Below are 21,689 nucleotides of genomic sequence, written 5' to 3'. Positions count from 1 at the left end.
GAGAATCCTGTCACTGGTGGTAAAACAGGTGAACCCAAGCTACTGATAGAAACTATAGAGAGTATTCTTGCAATAGTGACAGGCTAGATGCTGGATCATTTTCAATATTGATAATGTATAATTCTAGACTTCTTTCCTGGGCCTCCAGGATACACATGCATCTTAAAATGTGAACAGGTGAGAATGTCTCTTCATTATGTAGCTGTCATTTGCAAAGATTTTCTAGTCTTAGCTATGACATTTAGAGTCCTGTGACTTTGGGAAGGTCAGCTTGCCTCAGGGAACCTCAGTTTACTTATCTGCAAAAGGAGGGGATAGGAGTGAATAAATGAAATATTTCAAAATTATATTTGTGAGGACTCTTTGGCAGCTCGATGCTGTACTAAAAGCTTTATAGTAGCCTTGGTTTAATGTGATTTTAATAATTACAGAAATCTTTACACTGTAAGGGACACAGTACTATTAACCTCTTTCTACAAATCAAGAAACAAACACTCAAAAAAAAAACACTAAGTAGTTTTTCCCAGGTCACAACACAAATAACTTCTGAAACATGGAATCTGAATTATTAATCAGGACCCCAACTTGTTGATCTAGAGCTTTCAAGTCAATCAAGATTGAGAAAACTCCTGTACTCTATAATACCCAGGTAGGCTCTTCCATCTCTGAAGGTCTGGGATTACAATCTTCTCCCTCAGGCTGCATACTAAGGATTCAAAACTAAAATCAACACAGGGCAGCAAGAAAAGCAGCCTCATCCTGTACTGCTGGTTCCTCTGGGCTAAATATCTCCACATACCTGGATACCAAATCAATTCCCTAAAAGTTTGTGTTTCTCAAACATACCCTACCTCTGTCCCTTCAAGATTTCTTGACCATAAGTAGACACTCTGAGTCAGAATTTTCCAATTAGGGAATCAGGACCAATGCGGGTAAAAAGGATAATATTATTAGCATCTCCATTTTACAGATAGAAAAACTGAATTTTAATGAGACGTTATAACTTGTGCCAGGTCACTCACAGCTACTAAGTTCCAAGACATTTGAACTCAGCAGTATAGCTGAGTCTAAAAAGTCCATCCTCTTCTCTTTCTTTTTCTCAAATATTGTCCTGGAAGAGATATAAATAATAGTTCAATCCACTTTATTTATACTTTTAGAGAAATGTAACTTCTTCTCCTAATTTGAATTGTTGGAAGAATTATTAGAGGTATTACTTATCCACCTTCTCTCTAATGAATGGCCAGATAAATTATTGTGCAGAAACATTGTAAAGTTTCCTATTCCGACCTTTGATTAATGATCAGTTAGCTACTGCCACAGTAATGCTGTGTAACAGAACACCCCCAAACTCAGGAGCTTAAGACAATGATCATTTACTGTCATGGGTATAGGGGCCAGTTGCAGGCAGCTTGGCTTCAAACCACTGCATCTGACAGTTGCCTGACATAGGCTGGGTTCAGCCAGGTACCTCTACTTCAAGCTGCAAGGCTATACTCCATGTGTCTCTCATTTTCCTTGAACCGCCTAGGCAGAGTATGTTCTTCTCACAGTCACAGGTTTAAGAGAGCAAGTCAAACTACCCAGATGTTTTTTAAGTCTCTACTCGATATATCAAGTCTACTAACATTCCACCAACCAAAGACTATTCTATCACCAAACACAAAGTCAGGGGATAGCAAAGTACACTCCACCCATCAAGGTGGCATGGTACACTAGTTTGCTAGGGCTGCCATAATGAAATACCACAGAGTGGTTGGCTTAAACAAAAAATATGTATTTGCTCACTCTTGTAGAGGCTGGAGACTGGAAGTCCAAGTTCAAGGTATCAGCAGGTTTAGTTTCCCCTGAGGCCTGTCTTCTTGGATTGTAGATGGCCACCTTCTTGTTGTGTCCTCAAAGGGTTTTCAATCTATGCATGTGAATTCCGAGTGTCTCTTCCTCTTTTTATGAGGATACCATCATATTTGATTAATGCCCCACCTTTATGACCTCTTTAATATTAATTGCCTTTTTAAAGGCTGACAGTCACATTGAGGGTTAGGGCTTCCACATGTTAGTTTGTGCAGAACACAATTCAGTTCATAACATGGGGTTAGTAAATTTGAACAATAATGCTTGATCTCATTTTAAGTTTTCTACAGCTTGGAGTCTGACTAACCACAGTTTCAAATTCTGACTTCACCACTTCATAGCTGTGCAACCTTAAAAAGACTATGTGTATTGCCCTACTTGTAAAACTGGAATAATAATAGTAATTAACTCATGCATTTGTTAAAAGTTAAACAATTTATAAAAAGCATGTAGCACAGGATTTTGCACAAAGTAACTGCTCAAGAAATGGTGCTTGTGTTATGGCTCTTCATAGTTAAGAAGCTTTCACTTTATTCAGGGAGATTGCACGGGCTGTAGCCTCAGTCACATGCCTTCATTCTCAGGACCTGGATTCTCTCCTGTAGCAAATTCTATTCCCCCAAATCCATCTTCCTTCAATCTGTTTCTGCAATATGGTGATGCTTTAAAAAAAATCCACTTAACATTTCTCTGCCAATAAATTAGAGACCAGAAAGAAAGAAGATGGTACACACTTGTCTTTCTAGATATTTTGCAGATGGCTTGTTTGAAGCCATGTCATAGCCGCTGAGGCCTCAGCTAAGTGCTGGACTCTTCACAGCTATGTGAGAAGCCTGTGGGCTCAGAGGACAGTGCATGCATTAAGTATTGTCCTTTGGGAGATTCTCTTGGGAGTTCTTTTGGGATTAAGGATGTATGATCCAAATAATTTTTTTGATAACTTTACAGTCACTTTTCAGGATCAGGTTTGTTATTTCACAAGCTGCAGGCCACTGAGAAATCAGTAAAACATCTACTTCCCATATCCTCTTAATGCCTTCTCAAAAGAACTGATTACCTGCCCTCCCAGGATCAATTCCTTCAAAAATTAATTATTGTGTACAGTGGTCTTTAAACTCTCAAATCCCACCCCAAATTCAGCAAGCAGTTGGGCTGGGAAGCACAGATAAGGGTGCCAACATGTATTTCTTCTCTATATACCAACTTATTTAATGATCACAATCTGCCCAAAAAGTAGTTACTGTTTTCCACTTTTTACCGAAAACAAGATGTTAAAATTAAGTTTTGAGGAAGGCACCAAGACGCAACAGGTGTACATGCCGAAGTTAGATGCCAGACAAAATGCTGGATATAAAAGGAAATGTTTGAGAACTATTTCCACATGGATTGGCTTCTATAGGCAAATCACAGATATGAAAAAAGGTTAGAATATGGAAAAAGAACATTTCCTTTGAAATATATCTACAGAGAAATGATATTCAAAATGCAGCCTCCAGACTAGCAGCATTAATAATTTAGCAACTTATTAGAAATGTAAATTATCAGACCCCACAGCAGACCCACTGAATCAGAAACTCTGGGAGTGAGGCCCAGTAATTTCTGTTTTAATAAGCCTTCAGGTGATTCTGATGCAGGCCAGAGTTTGAGAACCACTGATCTAGAAAAAGCTATGTTCTGACTACCTCCTTTCCCCAACCAAGAAACATCCCTAGACTGCCAAGAGTAACCATTTGAGACCATCTGGGAAACCAGGGTCAATTCAACAAGTGGCCTCCCTCACTGCCAGCCATTTTCCAAGACTGGTTTACTCTAGTCATTTGTGGGGCATTATTCACGAAGCCAGGGGATTTAGAAAAGACAGAAATAAAACCAGGCTGTCTATGAGAAGACTTCCAAGTTTTCTAAAGACGTGTGGACTGGTGAAAAGTCAAAACCCTAACCCATCCTCTCTTCATTTCTGTGCCCTCATAGAGCTTGCCACACTGACTTTTGCTAATCCCTGGAAGAACAAAAGATGAATCAGGGACTCCTGGGGAAGTTCCTCAAAGTCCCTACAGGGAACAGAGAGAATTGGCAGACCAGTTTCCCTTACTCACTCAAGCATGCAGACTCAAGTTCAGTGATGAGGAAGGTCTTTGTATGAATCACTCAGGAAGGCTAATATGTGTCTCCTGGATAGTCAGTGTACTGAAATATGACCCTTGTCCTCTAAATAGTGGAGGACAGGGAACACAACCTGGCAAGTCGATTTAGTGCTTTCTGAAGTTCAGTGCATTAGTAAAGGTGTGCATTTGCAGGTTTTGTCAGTGCAAAGGATATGTATTTTCCAGGCACCCAACAATAGTGGTATGCATAAAACAGGCAGCACAGGCTCCTCTTAGGCACTGTATTAGTTTTCCAATGCTGTGTAACAAAGTATCACAAACTTAGTGCTTTAAAATGCCATTCATTTACTAGCTTACATTTCTGCAGGTCAGAAGTCCAGGCACAGCATAACTCAGTTTTCTGTTCAGGGCCTTAAGGAGCTATAATCAAGGTACCAGCTGAGCTGCATTCCTTTCCAGAGGCCCCAGGGAAGAATCTGCTCCCAAGCTCATTCAGGTTGTTGGCCAAATTCAGTTACTTGCTGCTCTAGAATGAAAGTCCTTGTTTCCTTGCTAGCTATCAGCTGGGGCTGCTCTTAGCTCCTAAATGCCACCCACATTACTTACCACATGGCCTCATCCATCTTAAAAACCAGCAACAGAAAATCCCTCTCACACTTCAAATATATGACTTCCTCTGTCTCTGACCTCTAGGCCCAGATTTAAAGGGTTTGTGTGATTAGATGCAGCTAACTTGAATATTCTCCCTTTTGTTTAACTCAAAGTCAAGTGATTGCAAAAGTAACCTATACTTAAGTACAAAGTCAACTAAAGAATTAACATTAGTTGCATGTGCAGATCTTTTTTTCCCATGTAGTGTAACAATCACAGAAGTCATATCTCATCATAGTCTAAGATTCCACTCACTTTCAAGGGGAGGGAATTATACAAAGGTAAAGTTTATTTATGGTCATTTTGGGATTCTGCCTACCATAGACCATTTTTTAAAACTAGAGAGGTAAGTGGGCCCCAGCAGGTAGGAGATAAAAGTGGATAACAGCTAGGGATCCTCCTTGGAGGTTAAGGATTTTGCAAAAAAGGATCTAAGCAAAAGGAATTCCCAAATAGCTCATGAAAGTGTCCTTTGAGAGAGAAATACAAGGGGGCTCTAAACTCTGCCAGACCTCAAAAGCAAGGAGCCAGAGAAGGAGAACACCAGTTGTCAGATGCATAAGAACTTTCTTGTATCCTCTTTTGCCCTCCACGCTCTATAAATTTTCACCCTGGCAAGGGCAAAACCTCTGCTAGCCAACAAGGGAAAGGAGTAAATGCTGGGACAAGAAAGAAATGTCACGTCATCACACTCTCTTCCCTGAAGGCAGGTGGCCATGAAATGTAGGTCTTCCCCAGGCAGGGGAAGTCTTATATTTGAATGAAGATTAAAGTCATGATTAACGTCTGGGCTGGACTTGTTGTTCCAGAATTACTAGTGTGTTTTATTGTTCATTTCGTATTCCTTTATTTAAAGTAGACACAGGTTTTCTGAGAGTGAACAGAAAAGCCATGGAGACTCCTGAGCTTTTGTATAACGGCATAGAAAAGCCCTTCTCCAATAAAAAAAAAAAAAAAAGTTCAAAAGAACAGTATAAGACGAGGAGGAGGAGGCAGAAAAACTGCTGCACCTTGATTATACCCCAAGCATTATGGTTATTCCACATACTAATTACATACATGTGAGACAACTGAGACGATTAAAAAGTGAATTGACTTGCCCAAGATACACAACCAGTGAGCTAATGAGTGACTGAGCTGGGATTGGAAATCGAGTCTTCCTAACTCTATAATGTATTCCTTTATTATCATGCCAAGTAGGAATTTTGACAGCAGGCACATTATGAATCTGAAGGACAGAAAGCCACAGAGGAGCTGCACAGAGATACGAGCCCACGCCCACTATGAGTAGGTATTTACCATCTCTTTTGTCTCCACCTGGCTTCTTTTCAAGCTGCAGAATCCAACATGATCTTCACTGTAGTGTCTCAGTACCTTTAAGAAGCCTTAATTAACTGTTCTTCCTAGATGAAACTCCAGACATTCAGACTTTCTAAAAACAGGAGGTAAGGACTCTGTTCTGAGAATAATCTAGTACCTCCCGGATAATCAATCAGTGTGATCTATTCATGACCACAGAATTTAGTTCACTTGAGATAATTCTTTCTCAGTCTTAGTGGGAAGAAAAATATGCAACAGTCTCAAATTTTTGTCTTCCAACCAGAATAACAGTAGAAGTTTTCTGGGGTGACCATACCCCAGTGTAGTGAGAGAGGAAGGAGCGCTCTCACTGAAAGAGAAAGTGCACTCAATGTGGTTTGTGTCTTCTCTTGTCAAAGCAGCAAATTGCTTCAAAAGAGGAAACAATGACAGAGAACAAAAATCACATGTACCAGCTCATGCCAGCAGGAACTGAGGAGCTGGGACACGCATAGGACACCGGGCAGTTAAACGAGGCTCAATAAGGAAACTGAGAAATGAGGTCACAGAGCACAGTAGAGTAGAAACAACAAGGACAGAGAGCTAGACAGCCTGTGATGTGTGCAAATGTGGGATTCTAGACATGCTTAACCAGCCCGTGTGAATCTCTTTCCCTCATCTGATAAACAGGCATGCAGCTCCCTAGAATTGCTCTAGAGGATGAAATGAAATAACATTTATACAACTGGTACTTAGTTGACTTGACTCTTGGTTCTTGCCACAACCAATACTATATGTTTTGGCCATTGACCTAGGAAATTGAAATTTTTAGAGAAGTCTTCGAGATTTATATAAATAATATAGTTCAAATCAGTTATGATATTTGTAATCAATATGGACGTCCACACAGCCTGTGCTCCTCCATTCACCAATTCCTTAGTTCTATCTGGTAGAGTCCATCACAAACATTTGTCATGAGGCTGGTGGTCAGAGCAGACTCTCAGAGGGAAGATGGACCTGACTATTCCCTCCCTTTTCAGAATCAGAGATGGAGTGAATGAAGAAACATAAAGCAGGAATAACTGTATTCTAACCTTGAACATGAAATCTGAGTGCTCTGCTAATATATTTCCACAGCACAAAAGAAGGGAAAAGAGAACTATAGCAGAAAACACAAGGTACAAACAGGCAGCCAATCTTCAGTGGCTGACTTTGCAACCCACCCGAGCTGATAAAGCTGCAGCCACGTAGGAATTCTCTTATCTGATTGTCAGCCAAGATGAGAATGTGGCACTGGGCCTTGAAAACTTTAGCTGTGCAAGAACTTGAAATGCCCTTACTTGAAATTTCATGAGAAATGTCTTCACTTGCCTTTCTTAGTTATTGTACTTTTGCTTGGTGTTAAGAATGCCTAGATAACTAGTCAACATCCTCATCCACAAGGAACTCACAAATAACAGGAAAAACAGATATCATATTAATCAAGGTAATTAATGCCATCTGCCCAACATACCCAACATTTTAGTGGCTTAATACATTACAAGTTTATTTCTTGCTTACATCATGTCCAAGTGTGGGTTGAGTGGCCTTCCTTCATCCTGTAGTTACACAATCTGAGGCATAAGACCTTCAAGATCAAAAAGGATGGCTGGTAGATGGCAGGAGGATCACGTGGGATGATTTCAAAAGTCGAGCTCGCAATTGGTACACATCACTTCTGCCCATACCTCACTGGCTAGAACTCAGTCATACGGAGCCGACCTAATGGCAAAGGGGTCTGGGAAATATAGAGGAACACACAACACACTGTTGCTGAGTCTTAACAGTTTCTGCCATGGAAAAACAAATTTATAATGGCAATGCAATGAGTTAAGTGCAAATATGGCATAGGTTTGTGATGACACAATGAAGGGAGTAGTAAATTCTGCTTGGGCGGATCTAAAAAGGTTGCATGGGAAAGAAGACACATGATATGAGCCCTAGAAAAAGAACAAGAGCAAGATAATTGTGGGAAAGAAGAGGGGCATTTTAAGGCAGAGGCATGGATGCATGGATTAGTGTGGCAAGTTTAGGAACTGTAAAAAAATGGGATGCCTGGAAAAGAGTGTGGATAAGAAATGCATGGAGTAGAGACTGGAGCTCTGAGTGAGAACTAATCCTGAGGTTAGGAGGAAAATTTCAGAGACACAGTAAATGCATCCTTGAACCTAGGGTTCTTACCAGGCATCAGGAGAAAGTCTGGACTCCAGGTATGATCAGATATGTGAATTGAGTCCTTGCAGACCTTCAGCCAATAAGCAAGTGAAGCCATCTTCACAGGGTTAACAAGAATTATGAACAGAAATATGGTTATAATTAAACATCAATCATGCTGCACTTGGCCCACTTCCTTGCCAAAATCACATAGCACTAGATAGTGACAATTTGCATCCCCATTGCTGCTGTAGACAAGATCTCTGACAGAATTATAAGGCTTTTGTTTAATCATCACTTAAGATGTCTTTGAGATCCCAAATTCCAGTGGAATGGCTGAAGCCAATCAGTTGAAAGACCCCCACAGAGGAATCAAATCAGAATAAAAATATAGTTTCTTCATCTCCCTGTCCCATGACTTTACCCTGCGCTCTTCAACCAGTCAACATTCTCTACAATTCAGTCCACTCCAAAATCCTTAAAAAACCCTAACCTCAGGGAGAGGGATTTGAGCGTTCCCCCCATCTCCTCATTTGGTGGCCCTATGACTAAACCTTTCTCTGCTGAAACACAGTGTCTCAATTCGTTGACTTACTGTGTGCATCAGGTAATGAACCTATTACAGTTACATAAGGCCTCCTATGTTTCCCTCTTCTGCTACAAAAAGGCAGCATTGTAACAATGATGACTGTAGGCTGCTTTAAGTAGCAATACCAGGCTTCTTTCTTGGGTTTGCAACACCATGCAGAAGGAAGGTAAGTTTGAGCATCAGACAGACCTGGATTCAAATGCTTTTCTGAAGTTACTCTCTAAGCCACATTTTTTCTAGAATGATAATAACAATGACTGCTATGGAAAAATAGCATGTAGAAGAAGTGAAATGCTGTTGTAGAGCCACAAGAATGGCATCCGATGGAGTGGACCTTCCAAATGTATTATTAGCACTTCCCACTCTCTGCCACATCCGCTTTTCTCTCCCTGTTTCTAATGCAGTTTTTGCTCATACAGTTGATGGACTTAGATTGCTCACAGGGAGCTCTTCCTTTTCACAGAGGTGTCTTTGGGCTGTGTGAGTTGAAGTAAAGCTGTTTACTGCCTTAACCCCATGCTCCAACACACCCACTGGGTAAAGTTCTTAGATGTTCCTGGAATCAGGCCGCCTCTTAGTCTCTCCTTGAAGCCTGCCTGACATTGGAGTCTAGAAGTCTTCTTAGATCCATTATCTCATTACATATTGACAATCACCCTCTGCAACAGACAGCATCATTCCCATTTTACAAATGAGGAAAACCACAAAGGGATTTGGCAAACAAGGCCAAATGTATTCCATTTCCTTTAATCCAATTGCCTGATACTCTCCCTGGTATAAAAAAATGACCACTCTTTATTCCTGCCTTAAAAAACAGTAAGAAAAGATGGAGATGCTTTGCCAGGAAATGAGATGGCTCTAAAATCAAAACTTGTCAGACTAATTTCCCCAGTAAAGCACTAAGTAATAAACCTAACTCTAGAGATAAAACACAGAAGGCACAGCTAACGTTGTTTTTAACATATGCTAAACTGTAATAAACTGATCACCAAGTAAAATAGGAGGGCCCTAGTGTGAGTATGTTAAAAGAATGACCCTCCTCCTTTTTGGCTCTATTATTTTACTGAGAAATCACAAAATCCATATATAAGATGTACAAACAAATATACACCTACACCTTTATATGTAAATGAATGTAAACATATACGTTCACACACTCATATACCCTAATTAACACAAACCAGCCTATATATACATTTTTTTCTTTTTCACTTTATTCTGACATAGGTGACCATAGTATAAAAATGGGAAAAAGGACACTTTGGATAATCTGACCCTCCCTCCATCCATCGAAAGGAGTAAACAAAATTGAAAAAGTAAAATGAAGCTTAGAGGGTACAGCATTTCACGGCCAACACCCCTGATTCAAGTAGCTTCATGATGTGTCTTTTCCCTTCTATTGGCTCCCATAGCAGAAAGTATCAGGGCCCATCCAGGGCCTTTCTTGACACCTTGAGGTCACCCACAGTCTGTTTCCATATGCACACTCTCGTGTCCTGGGCATATGCTCAGTCTGGGCTCAGGACAGGCCAGAAGTGCCAAGGAGGTAAGGTCCTGGGGGCCACTCTCAATGCTGAGCTGTGATAGGAGCTAGTGAGTAAATGTCCCAGCTTCCTCACCCCTTACAGGGACAGAATCTGAAATGTGCTCTAAACATCCCCTTATAAGGTCCCCATCAGGATTGACACCTGTTGCCCATGGCAGTGACCTGCTTACCAATGCACCTTTATTGGCCTTCCCCACCCACCCTGTCCCACTTACCCACACTCTTACTGTGCTGCCTGAGATCATTGCCCAAATAAATGACTTACCCAGGTCCCTATCTCAGGATGTGCTTTTAGGGCACTAAAACTACAAAAGTTTCCTAATTCCAAAGCCTCTAAACCAGGTCTCCAACCCCTGATATCAGCATGTCTCCCACTAAATTCCCTGAATCTTGACATATTTTCCAGATAGTTCCCAAGGGATGGTCCCTGCTCTGTGCTTTGATAATTTACATTTTGTCTCCCCTGCTAGTCTGTGGCAGGGATTCTGTCATTTACCAAGTGCAGTGCTGGAACAAGGCAGGTGTTCCATAAATGACTAATGAATCATCATGTCCTCTCTCTCTGAAAAGCACACGCCCATCTCTAACACTTCTGGCCTGACTCTGCAGCCCCGGAGTCAGTCTTGCGGAGTTGCTTAGAGGCTTGCAGAGGTGTCTGGCTTGAGATCCAAGAGCACCACGGGAAGCCCATCAGTCAGCTCTGGTAATATGCCTTACTATAACTGCAGACACATAGATGGGCAAATGGACAGGTCCCTGGCCACTTGTGCTCTGTGCTGGCATTATGTGTGCCTAAGGGGGCTTGCCTTGTTCTAGAGCAAAGAGAGTGGTGGCAGATCACTCCCGCCACCCACATCACTCCCACCAATTCCCAGCAGCTCCTCTCGTACCTCCCTGTAATGTCCCTATTTCTAAAGAACACATTCTTAGCTCCTCAGGATGAGGCTCTCTTGAAGCTGGACTCTCTCAAACAAAGCCACCCTACATGTTCTGCCAGCAGATCCAGTGAGCAGGAAAAGTCTCATGGATATCCCAGAGGGAGTTTCACCAGCCAGAGAGGGATGAAAATCCCGCGGCTACTCAACCTCAGTGTGAGTCCTCCCCTGCTTTGCCCAAGTTGCTCTTCAAGCTCATCCTCTGATACCCATGACCTTCCCCAAGCCTGAGCTCCCACAGAAAAGCTGGCACCATACACTGTATGGTAATGTCTTCCCTTCTGGACTTCTTGAGAACAGGAAGAGTTTCTGCATTCTTGTCCCCACTGCCTATCACAATGCCAGTTACACATAAGGCATTTTATATGTGTGTTGAGGACAAAAGTAAGCAGAGCTTTCCACACCAGGCAGAAACAGGCCTTAAAAATGTATATATCCCTTGGAGAGGGAACACAGTAATACACATTCATTCAGAACACTGAGACTTTGATGTGTAAAGGGGGATCTTAGAAGAGGAGAAAAGGTTTAGAAAGGAGAAACTTGAGGACAACAGAGGCATGCTTTGCTTAATTCACACAGAGAATGGATGGGAAGGATGATGCCGAGAAGGGAAGAGGATACCATCCCCTCTCCGTGCAGCATTTCTTTCGATATTTTAAAAAGAGCAAGAACTCTGAAGATAGAATTTGATTTGCAGCCTAGCTTTTCTGAGATTGTTCATGAAGGACTATGAAAATGCCAAAACACAGTAGCAGAGGAGTCTCGGGAAATGAGCTCAGGCCTGTCAGCATTTCTGATTGTTAACCAGTCACACTTTGAACTTTATTTCAAGCCTGTTTGAGGCCAGTGGAGAAATGAACAGGCCATAGCTACACCAATTACTTTCCAGATGAAGCTTCAACAGTGTGGAGGGAGGTAGTTTCTATTTGTTGACTCAACCTAGAAAATGGTTTAGAAAATTTCCTGGCAGGTATTAGCAGGAACCTGATCAAGGAATAACTCTAGGTAGGGATTTTTTAAATGAAATTCAGAGTAAACACTATAAAGAAAGTCAGCGTCGCAGTGAGAGAGGGATGCTGGCATTCCAACACACCTGGTGGAGACTGAACCTGGCGAGCAGCTCACAAAGCTGGCTCTCAGACATTTGAGACCCTCACCACAGATTTGGCAGTGCTGGAGAAGATGCATTCAAGCCCTGGCCTGGGTGTCATGGAAACCAAGTTTCATATGCACGCTCATCCAAGGTCTCCTAATTTACTGTCTAAAGCAAGCTTCCTCACCATTCTCCATCTGTTTCCATTTCTACATTTCAAAGTTGGAGATAATCCTCTTTAAAAAAAAAAGTGGAGAAAGTGAGTGCTTATAGAATACCCACTATGTGCCAGGCTCATACTAGGTGTTATACATGAATTACTCCATGAATCTTCACAACAGCCCAAAGTAGTTAGGTAGGGTGAGGTAATGTATAGCAGTCAGAATTCAGGTTTATATTTCAGAATTCTCTTAAAAACCACTTTGTTTTAGAGAAATGGATTAATACAGAGAGTATTAAATACAATGACTAAAGACTGAAGGCTGGTGAGAACTTCTGCTAGCTTTGAAGAAATTAGAAAATATTCGAACCACAGGAAGCCCCTGCCAATGATCTCATCTGCATGTTACACTGAAGTAGGGTTTCACAGAAGTTCACCTGGAAGATACTGTGAATTTCATGTTCATTACATGTCTACATGGCTATTCTCCAAAACAAGAGAGCAACAAATGCTTCTCCTCTTCTGTCTTAAAGGGCCGCTACCTACATGTCCCACATTGGAAAAACTAAACCAGAACCCTGTTGACCAGGGGTCCTGGAAAATGTAGTTTTCAGAATTTTAGCCCCTAAAAAACAAGAAAGAGCTTAGAATCAACAGTCAATATCCAGCATTGAGGAATACTATTGTGTTTATCTTATTACTGAGGCAACTAAAATTTCAAGAAGTTAAATAACTTTTCTCAAGTTCTTTCTGCTAGTTTGTGATGGAGATGGAATATTATTATAATAAACCTGGGTGTTTCTCCCTCCAAAACCTAGGAGAAATAATGGAATTTTGATTCATGCAGAGGCACAAATTTGTTCAATTGCATCCAGAGAGGATATTTCTGTGTTTGCGTTGCTGCCTATCCACTAACCCTGTCAGCATGAAGGAGATAAAAAAGGCAGGTTTCCCCATAAACCATGCAAGAGTCTATGTGATATTTGTCCATAATAATTAGGAAGAGTATGAGGGCAATAATATTAATGCCTGAGAAAAAAACTTCAAGTGCAACCAGGGGAATGCAAGTTAAAACCACAATGAGACACTGTGTCACATCTACCAGATTAGCAAACATGAAGTGCTAGCAAGGACATAGAGCCACACCAACTCTCTGCCACTGCTGGTAGACATAATAGATTGTTACAACCATGTTGGAAAACAATTTTCCATTACCTCTTTTTGAGACAGGGTCTCACCTAATCACCCAGTTTAAAGTGCAGTGGCTGAATCTAGGTTCACTGCAGCCTCCACCATCAGGCTCAAGAGATCCTCTCACCTCAGCCTCCTGAGTAGCTGGGACTACAGGCATGTACCACCATGCTCTGCTAATGTTTTGTATTTCTGTAGATATGAGGTTTTTCTATGTTTCCCAAGCTGGTCTTGAACCCCTGAACTTAAGTCATCAGCCCACATCAGCCTCCTAAAATGCTGGAATTACAGGTGTGAGCCACCGCACCCAGTTTTCCATTACCTCTTGAAGTTAAATGCATTTACAGACTATGAGCGAGGAATTTCACTCATACGAATATATCCTAGAGAAATTCTGGTACCTGTACGCCATAAGATGAAATACATACATAAATGTTTATAGTAGCATTATCCATAATAGATTAAAAACTTAAAGCAGACCTAATGGCCATTAACAGGATGAATAAATAAATAGAGTATATTCATACAATGGAATATTGTAAAGCAATAGAAATACATGAAGTACAATGAGATGGAACAAGATGTATGGACTTAAAAGGTTTAATGCTGAGGAAATAGTCTCTATTCCATTCATATAAAAGATAAAATACAGACAATACCAAATAATATACTGTTTAGACTCCATACATATGTCACAAAACTATAAAGAAAAGCAAGGCAAATATTAATTAAATATGAAAAATAATGAGTTATTTTAGGGGGAGACAGAATGGAGTAGAACTAGGGAGGGACACTTGGAGGAACCTTCTATGGTCTTAATAATAATCTAAGTGGGATGGTGAATTCAAGGGTGTTTATTATTATTCCTTACATTATAAATATGTGTACTCTTTAATATGTATATTTGTACACACATTTCTTTGTATATTTCATATGCAAAGAAAGTTAACGTCATAGTGGAGATTTTCTGTCAGCCTCTGCCTTTCTCCAGCCCCACTCAATTGCAGTTTGGTGCCGGGGTAGTGGATGTACAGCCTGTCCATCCCATTCTGGGCTTTCAAATTCAGCCCACTCTGAGACGATATAAGGTCTCCTGTGGTATATGAACTCCATCCCCAGAATTCCTCCTGACCATCTCTCACTTGACAGCTTTACAGTATGAATAAATCACATTGATTAAGAACATGAATTTTAAAATCTGTGTTTGGTTCCCAGCCCTGTCAATAAACAGTGTTGTGACCTTGGGATCATCATATAACCTCCATGTTTCTCAGCCAGTCAAAAAGTACTTTTCTCCTGGGATTGTTGTTATGAAGGTGCAATGATTTAATCTACATAAAATACTTAGAAGATTGACTGGCATACGGTGACTATAATTTAATTGTCAGGTTTTACTATTACTTCTTACTTTTTCTCTTGACAGATTTGTTGATCACCCCATCTTTCTTGCTTGACTCCACATCTCAGTAATTACTATGTACTTGGTCCCATTCCTAAGAACAGGGATCAGCAAACTATGGCCTGCAGGTCAAATTCAGCCCACTATCTGTTTCTGTAAATAAATTTTTATTGAAACACAGCTATGTGCATTCATTAATATATTGTCTGTGACCACTTTCATGTTACAAAAGCAGAGCTGAGTGGTTGTAACAGACTATGATCTGCAAAGACTATCTGGCCATTTACAGAAAATGTCTGCTGACTCCTCCTTAGAATATGGTTGAACTCTGCTCTCCTGGCTTTGATCTTGCCCATCTCCCATAACCTTTCTGCTGCAGACAGGATTCCACATATCTGTACTCCAACCTCAGGCACAGTGACAAATGAAGCCAACATAACTTATGTTCTTGGGCTATAGGGACCATGAAATCAAGTCCACTCATTTTTGGCCATTTCTCATCATTGATAGAAGGGGTTAGACACATCGAGTACCCAAGGCCACTCCTGAGCAAGGCAATGGCATGTGATAGCCGACTCTGGCATAAAAGGCTCACTACCTCCTACTAGAAATTTCCAACAGCATAGCATGTGATTACCTCACCTTGAAATAGAATATGTAGAAACATAATAAATATGCCAGGTTACATATTTATAAACACGTACAAAGATAAGCATTTACTGTCACCATGACCTGGCCATTAAAATGTTTTAACTCCTGAATATTACATCCCCCTAAGTAAGATAAAGCCATTAAAGCAATAATTGTGAAGTCATATGATCCTCTCAATGGGTCTCAGGAGGAAACAAGTCAATATAAAATAGGTGTCTATTTTTTTTAATGTAATCCCTATTCTGCTGACTTTGTCCCTATGACCTCAGCCACCAAAGATAACACACCTACTTCACAATTCTAAATGAGAAGTCCTCTAATAAGGGTGAAGGGTGACAAAAAGACAAAATCTAAAAAAGGAAACCACAAAGACTGGAAAGACAAGGAGTTTCAGCAAATCACCCATTCCCACCCAGGGAAAGAAAAAAACAGAAGTGCTCTCCTTTGTGTGCTATTTTGGTCACATGTGATTAATAGCCTGTCACACTGTCAGGAGAACCCAAACTCGATCAAATCGACACATGGCAGCTCTGTGCACTAAGGTGGGGCACATTTCTGCACAAAATGTGCCAGAGGGATGCACTGTGTATGTGTATATATATATAGAACACATACCTGCCACTTGCATCCCTTGATCCTGAAATACTGCTGAAATTCCTCTCCCTACACATACTCCCAGAGCGTTGTGTGTGTGTGTGTGAGTGTGTGTGCACATTTGCCCATTTCATTCAGCAAGCAGCTGTGAAAGCTGTTATACTGCCTACATAGCATCAGAAAAGGATCTGGTAAGTGTTTAATGAGGGGGAGGTGTGATAAAAGGGATAAGGCAGTTAAATTGGGTAACTTAGAAAAGAATGAGATAAGATAATGAATGTGTTGCCATGGAAACCAGGTCATAGGCGTAATCTAATACTGCTCTCTATCTGTAACATTCTATATTCTGAGAAATGGGCAAATCCTATTTTTTTTACTTATGACTATTATCTTTAGAGGGATATTAATAGTCTAGTCAGTGTCTTACTTCCCCACTCATTAGTGAAGCAATACATAAGTGAGATACAAACATGCCCTCTAGACTAGAAGAATGCAAAAACCCTTTGTGAATCCTAAAAGGACTCGCTATGATTTATTTTTGTTCCTTTTTAAATTGACTGTCACATTTCTCTTTACTTCCCATAAACATCCTATCATCCAAGCTTGCTCTTTACTAAAATATGCACAGGAGAATGCCCAATAAATTGATACATTTCTGTAAAATTTGGCTCCAAAACCAAATGCACCCCAACTGTCTGTATCAAAAGAGCCCTTCAAGCAATCATCCTGGAAGTTCTTGGGCTGGCTGATTCCCCAGGGTGAATATATTTATAACTCCTCCTTTGGCACATGGGAATTAAGGTGACTTTAAAATGCATGTTAAAATACTAAAACATAAATAAAAATGAAAATTTAGGACCCAAAAATGAAAATTTAGGACCCAAGAATGTAAATCTAAATGAAAGATCAGCATGGGGGCAAGGATGGTGCAATACATATTCACAGCCCTTAATGTCCTATGTGTGCTAGTTGAACTAATGTTTTGAGTGTGTCTTCTGGTGGTCAAAGCAAAAAAGAAAGCATGAAATAATAAATAAATGAGTAAACTAAAACATCCCTCAAAATAAGCCAAGCTTTTCTTAGAACTCAGTATTGAAAGAAATTTCTTACTTGGAGGTTCATACATGAACCACTCAGATATATTGTGCACAATAACCCAAATGCAAATGCAAGAATAGGTTTCATTAGGACCTTCAGCCGTGAGACCAAGATGCAAATTATGAACGCAATCTCGAGGGGTGGAGAGAGAGATGTAATGACACGGAAAGGAAGGGAATAATATGAAGAATTTATGGAGTATTTTTATTTGTCCTGCTTGGTCTAAGAATTATAATACTTTCAAAGAGAAATCCCCCCTATTCACTTCCAAATATCTCTTAATTCAGCTAACCATTAGGTAAGAATTAGAAAGCAGCATTTTTGTCCTCTGACCTAGAATGCAGATCTACTCTGGGTTTAATGATGATCATGATGATATATGGGCCAGATTTACCATCTTTTATGAAAATAGAGGGCTAATTCAAGACTCTCCAACCAATTCCCAGGTGATGGTGTTATTGCAAAGGCATTATTAGAATGAAGCACTCTGGAGATGGTTCTAAAGAGTTAACAGTGCAACTGGGTTATCCCGGAGAACTTGGTCCCATTCAGACTCCAGCAAAGGCAGAAACCATTAATGCTCATCACATCTCCATGGCTTCTCTGCATCTCCCAGCTCCCTTTACAATTAGGTTTGGACTATATAACAAAGTTTAAACCAAAGGAATGTGGGAATAAATGCTGTAAACCCTTAAAAAGTCCACAGTAACCTTCCAGTTACTTTCTTCCCTTGAAATGGCAAACTTAGAGGCCGTACGTTCCAAGTGGGGTGGCTCCATAAAGCAGTAATATGAGCAAGAAATAAACTTAAAGCACATGCTAAGCCACTGATATTTCAGGGTTTAGCTAGTATGAGTAGTCATGGATTACCCAAATGACTAATAATATAAGTCATTATATCCCATTATATTGGGATTACCCAAATGACTTAATAATAAGACAGCCAACGAACTGTCTTTACCATACTATCTGTCATTTTTAAATCATGTTTCAATAATTTTATTATAGATATTATATATTTTCAGCTTAAATACTCTTGTAAAAATATAGAGAAAAATTTGCAAGATATAACTACTGAACCATCTTTGAATGTGTACCCTTACAGACCCAATTTCTCTCTCTCCTCTCTCTGCTTCATTGCCCTCTCACCTCATGCCTTCTTAACATAGAGATGTAGAAATATAGTTAGAAAGATATATAAACAGTGGATGCCAGATATAAATAAATAAGTAGGTAATAAAGAAACAGACAGACATTAGGCTTAGATATGCTTCTGTAAGTTTCAAGTGGGCATGTTTTCACATAACCTCAACAGGTGATTGTATAAAGGCAACCCCTGTTAATTTATAAATGTTGGCATTGAGTACTGAGAAGTAAACTGAGATTAGCAGTTAGTGGTAGGAGAGCATTTTAACTCAAATAGTTCTACTTCAAAGCCTGCATCTGAATCACTACTTTTTACTGGCCTGAGTTAATTGATTATCTTTCATTCATTCCCTCAATTTTTCCAACACCAATTGTTGCTTAACTAGTAAGATAAGGGATAAGGTCATTATTGTTTCTTTCCTGTCTCCTGACAACTTGTGTTTCCTTTTCTGTCAATTGCCTGTTTTTTTAAGGATTATGTATATATTTACTGATTTGTAACAGCTCTTTATAAAGATATTAACGTTGTAACTGCCATATTTGTTCAAAAATATTTTTCCAGTGTTCTTTTTTTTAATTTATAGTGATTTTTCTTTATTTCCTTTCAAATCTTTCCTTATAATTTCCATTATAGTTTTAAAGCTCTTGTCACTCCAAACTAACATAAATATGCACTTATACTTTCCACGTATGCTAATCATTTGTTCCACCATTACATCCTTTGTCTACTTGAGAGTTATGCTTATATAAATGCTTCAAATCCTCCCTAATTTTGTTTCCTTGGTGTTTTCATTATTCATAGTTTTCCAAACAATATTATTGAATATCTATGTTTTATCCTATTGATTTGAAATGCTATCTTTATTATACGGTATATGAATTGTGATGTAGCAGGGAGAACAGACAATCTTGACAATCTTGACTTGTAAAGAACATGACTCTAGTGTTTGCGTTTCAAGTATGATGCTAAGTGCTTTGTCAGATATATTTTTATTACATGTATAAACTACTCTTCTAGCCCTATTTTACTTATAATTTACTTTAATCATGAATAGATAGCCATACGTTTTCCCTTACTAACATAATGGATTATTATAACATACATATATTTTATTAATAAGCCATCATTAAAATTCTGTAATAAAACCTACTTAGCCATAGCACATAATTTCTTTAATATACTAGAGTTCATGCAGTCACCATTTGTTTAGAATTTTTCATTTCCATTTCTAAAAGAAATCGATCTAAGTTTCCTGTAGTTAAATCAATTATAAGAAAAGAAAGAGGGAAAACTTACCTTTTATTATCAAATATTTCAACTGGCACAAAAATTTTGTGTTATATAATGGTTTGAAAGAACTCATTTCTAAAGCCTTATGGGTCTATCATTTTTTCACTGGTTATTTTTAGATACTTTTAATAATTTCTTTCAAGCTCTATTCAGCTTTTTTCCTACTTATTCTATGATTGATTGTTTTTTGTATTATCCTTTAAAATTATTCTTTCATTCATGTCTATCTATATTGGCATATATTGACATAGAATTCTATTTTTTCTGTTAAATGTGTTAAAATGTAAACAAATAATGATTTAGTTGCATCTTCTTGATCATTCCTAATAAACTGTATGGTTATTTATTTTTCTTTCCCTGGTCATGTTTATGAGATTTTGTCTATTTTAGTGGTCTTAAGTCTTTTTTAAAAAACATACAAAAAACCTCTAATATTTATTATTTTATTATTTTCAAACATTATTTCCATTTGTGCTTTTATTTCTTCCTTGGATGGACATAATTCAAATACAACCATTAAACACAACTCATTAATCCTATTGCTGATTTATCTTTATTCTGTTATCTACTTAGTATACAAAATATTGCATCTTATTATCCTGACTTTTTCAATTTTTTTTTATTTTGTACATTCCTGTGTCATTCATTAGCTAAAGTTTTGTGATTGTTTATTTTCATTTGGATTTTACCATTAGCAATGTAGACTTTGTCCCCCTTGAACATTTTATATTTTTTCATAAAATGTTACTTTTTTATATCAATCCTTTCTGTCATGTGAGGACACAACATTTGTCGCCTTTTATCCTTCACCTTCTGCCATGCGAATATGCAGCAAGAGGGCCCTTGCCAGTGCCACACCTTTGATCTTGGACATCTCGGCCTCCAGAACACTGGAGAAAAAATTTATATTCTTTATAAATTGCTCAGTATCAGGTATTCTATTAGAGCAGCATAAAATGGACTTAGGTGCCTACTGGAAACTCATGTAGTTGAATTTCGTGTTACTCTAATAGTTTTCACATTTACATTTCACACGTTTCATGTTCCTAAACATCTTACAACCACATTATCCTGCAAGACAATTTCAAAGTGTGGGAAATATCAATTAAAATCAAAATGGAAATGGTTTGTGGGCATATATGCTCTGCATGCATGTTTGTATACAATTGTATATGTGTGCACACATGTGGGTGAGTTCATGCATATATGTAGTGGGTGTGTGGTCTGCAACCAAAGATGACCAAAGAGACTGAAAAGTCATCTGACCAATAAGGACTAAGTAAAAAAGATTAAGTATCTCCAAGAGCATGTTCATTAGCTTCTCGACTCTTTACAAAGGGTTACAGTCCCACATAGCAGCGGTAGCAAGATCCCATAAAACATGATGAGCTATCATATTTCCTATGAAGACAGAGGCATATGGGCAGCACAGGGGAGACAAATCAAATTCAAGAGATTCAGAAAGACAGGTGAAGGCTAATTTAAATGAAAGTTTGAAATCAAGGCTTAATGACAGGATAATCCCTCTAGGAGCTACAGAATTTTGCTTCATATCCTTGTGCATATAGGTTGATAGTGATAATATCTGAAGAAACAATTACAGATTGCCTGATCTTTGAATAATCAAATTTGTAACAGTGTTGTGATATTTCTGTCAACTTCATGTAAGATCTCAAAATAATTTCTTCATGTTTAAAGGCTCATGCTGGCTACCACTATGGACTGCCTGAACCCCGCAAAACCCTCCTCTCCAAGTACTGCGCTCAGCTAGCTCAATTGAGCTGCTAATTCATCTGAGCCAAAGACCCAAAAGGACCTCCCCAACGCAGGGTCCTGGCCAGCTGCCGGATCCTGGTGACTGGGCTTAGTCAATCAGGTGCTTTTAGAGAGAGTG

The 21,689-nt window shown here is 39.2% G+C and overlaps 1 long non-coding RNA gene across 16 annotated transcripts in view, besides 2 other annotated features; it reads right to left on the bottom strand.

Moving 5' to 3' along the window:
• The window catches only part of LINC01811 (long intergenic non-protein coding RNA 1811), a 276,733-nt gene that overhangs the window by 67,606 nt on the left and 187,438 nt on the right, over positions 1-21,689 (bottom strand). For 3 of the 16 annotated variants that reach the window (NR_183686.1, NR_183685.1, NR_183689.1), the window contains 2 exons: positions 8,130-8,220; positions 7,470-7,686 (listed from right to left, as the gene is read on the bottom strand). The exons of 10 other annotated variants lie outside the window; for them this stretch is intronic. This is a non-coding gene — a long non-coding RNA (long intergenic non-protein coding RNA 1811). Of the gene's footprint in view, positions 1-1,022; positions 1,112-7,469; positions 7,687-8,129; positions 8,221-21,689 lie in introns of all 16 variants that reach the window. 3 more of the 16 variants (NR_183680.1, NR_183687.1, NR_183688.1) reach the window with 2 other exon arrangements.
• Positions 6,389-6,558: an enhancer, noted in NCBI's record as "active region_19658". NCBI's record gives its function as "activates an Ori minimal core promoter by ATAC-STARR-seq in GM12878 lymphoblastoid cells {active_cell/tissue: GM12878}" and the evidence as "EXISTENCE:reporter gene assay evidence [ECO:0000049][PMID:35858748]".
• Positions 6,569-6,638: an enhancer, noted in NCBI's record as "active region_19657". NCBI's record gives its function as "activates an Ori minimal core promoter by ATAC-STARR-seq in GM12878 lymphoblastoid cells {active_cell/tissue: GM12878}" and the evidence as "EXISTENCE:reporter gene assay evidence [ECO:0000049][PMID:35858748]".

This window comes from Homo sapiens, chromosome 3 (genome assembly GCF_000001405.40).
Source record: "Homo sapiens chromosome 3, GRCh38.p14 Primary Assembly".
Classification (NCBI taxonomy): Eukaryota; Metazoa; Chordata; class Mammalia; order Primates; family Hominidae; genus Homo; species Homo sapiens.
This window is presented reverse-complemented; position numbering and strand designations above follow the sequence as displayed.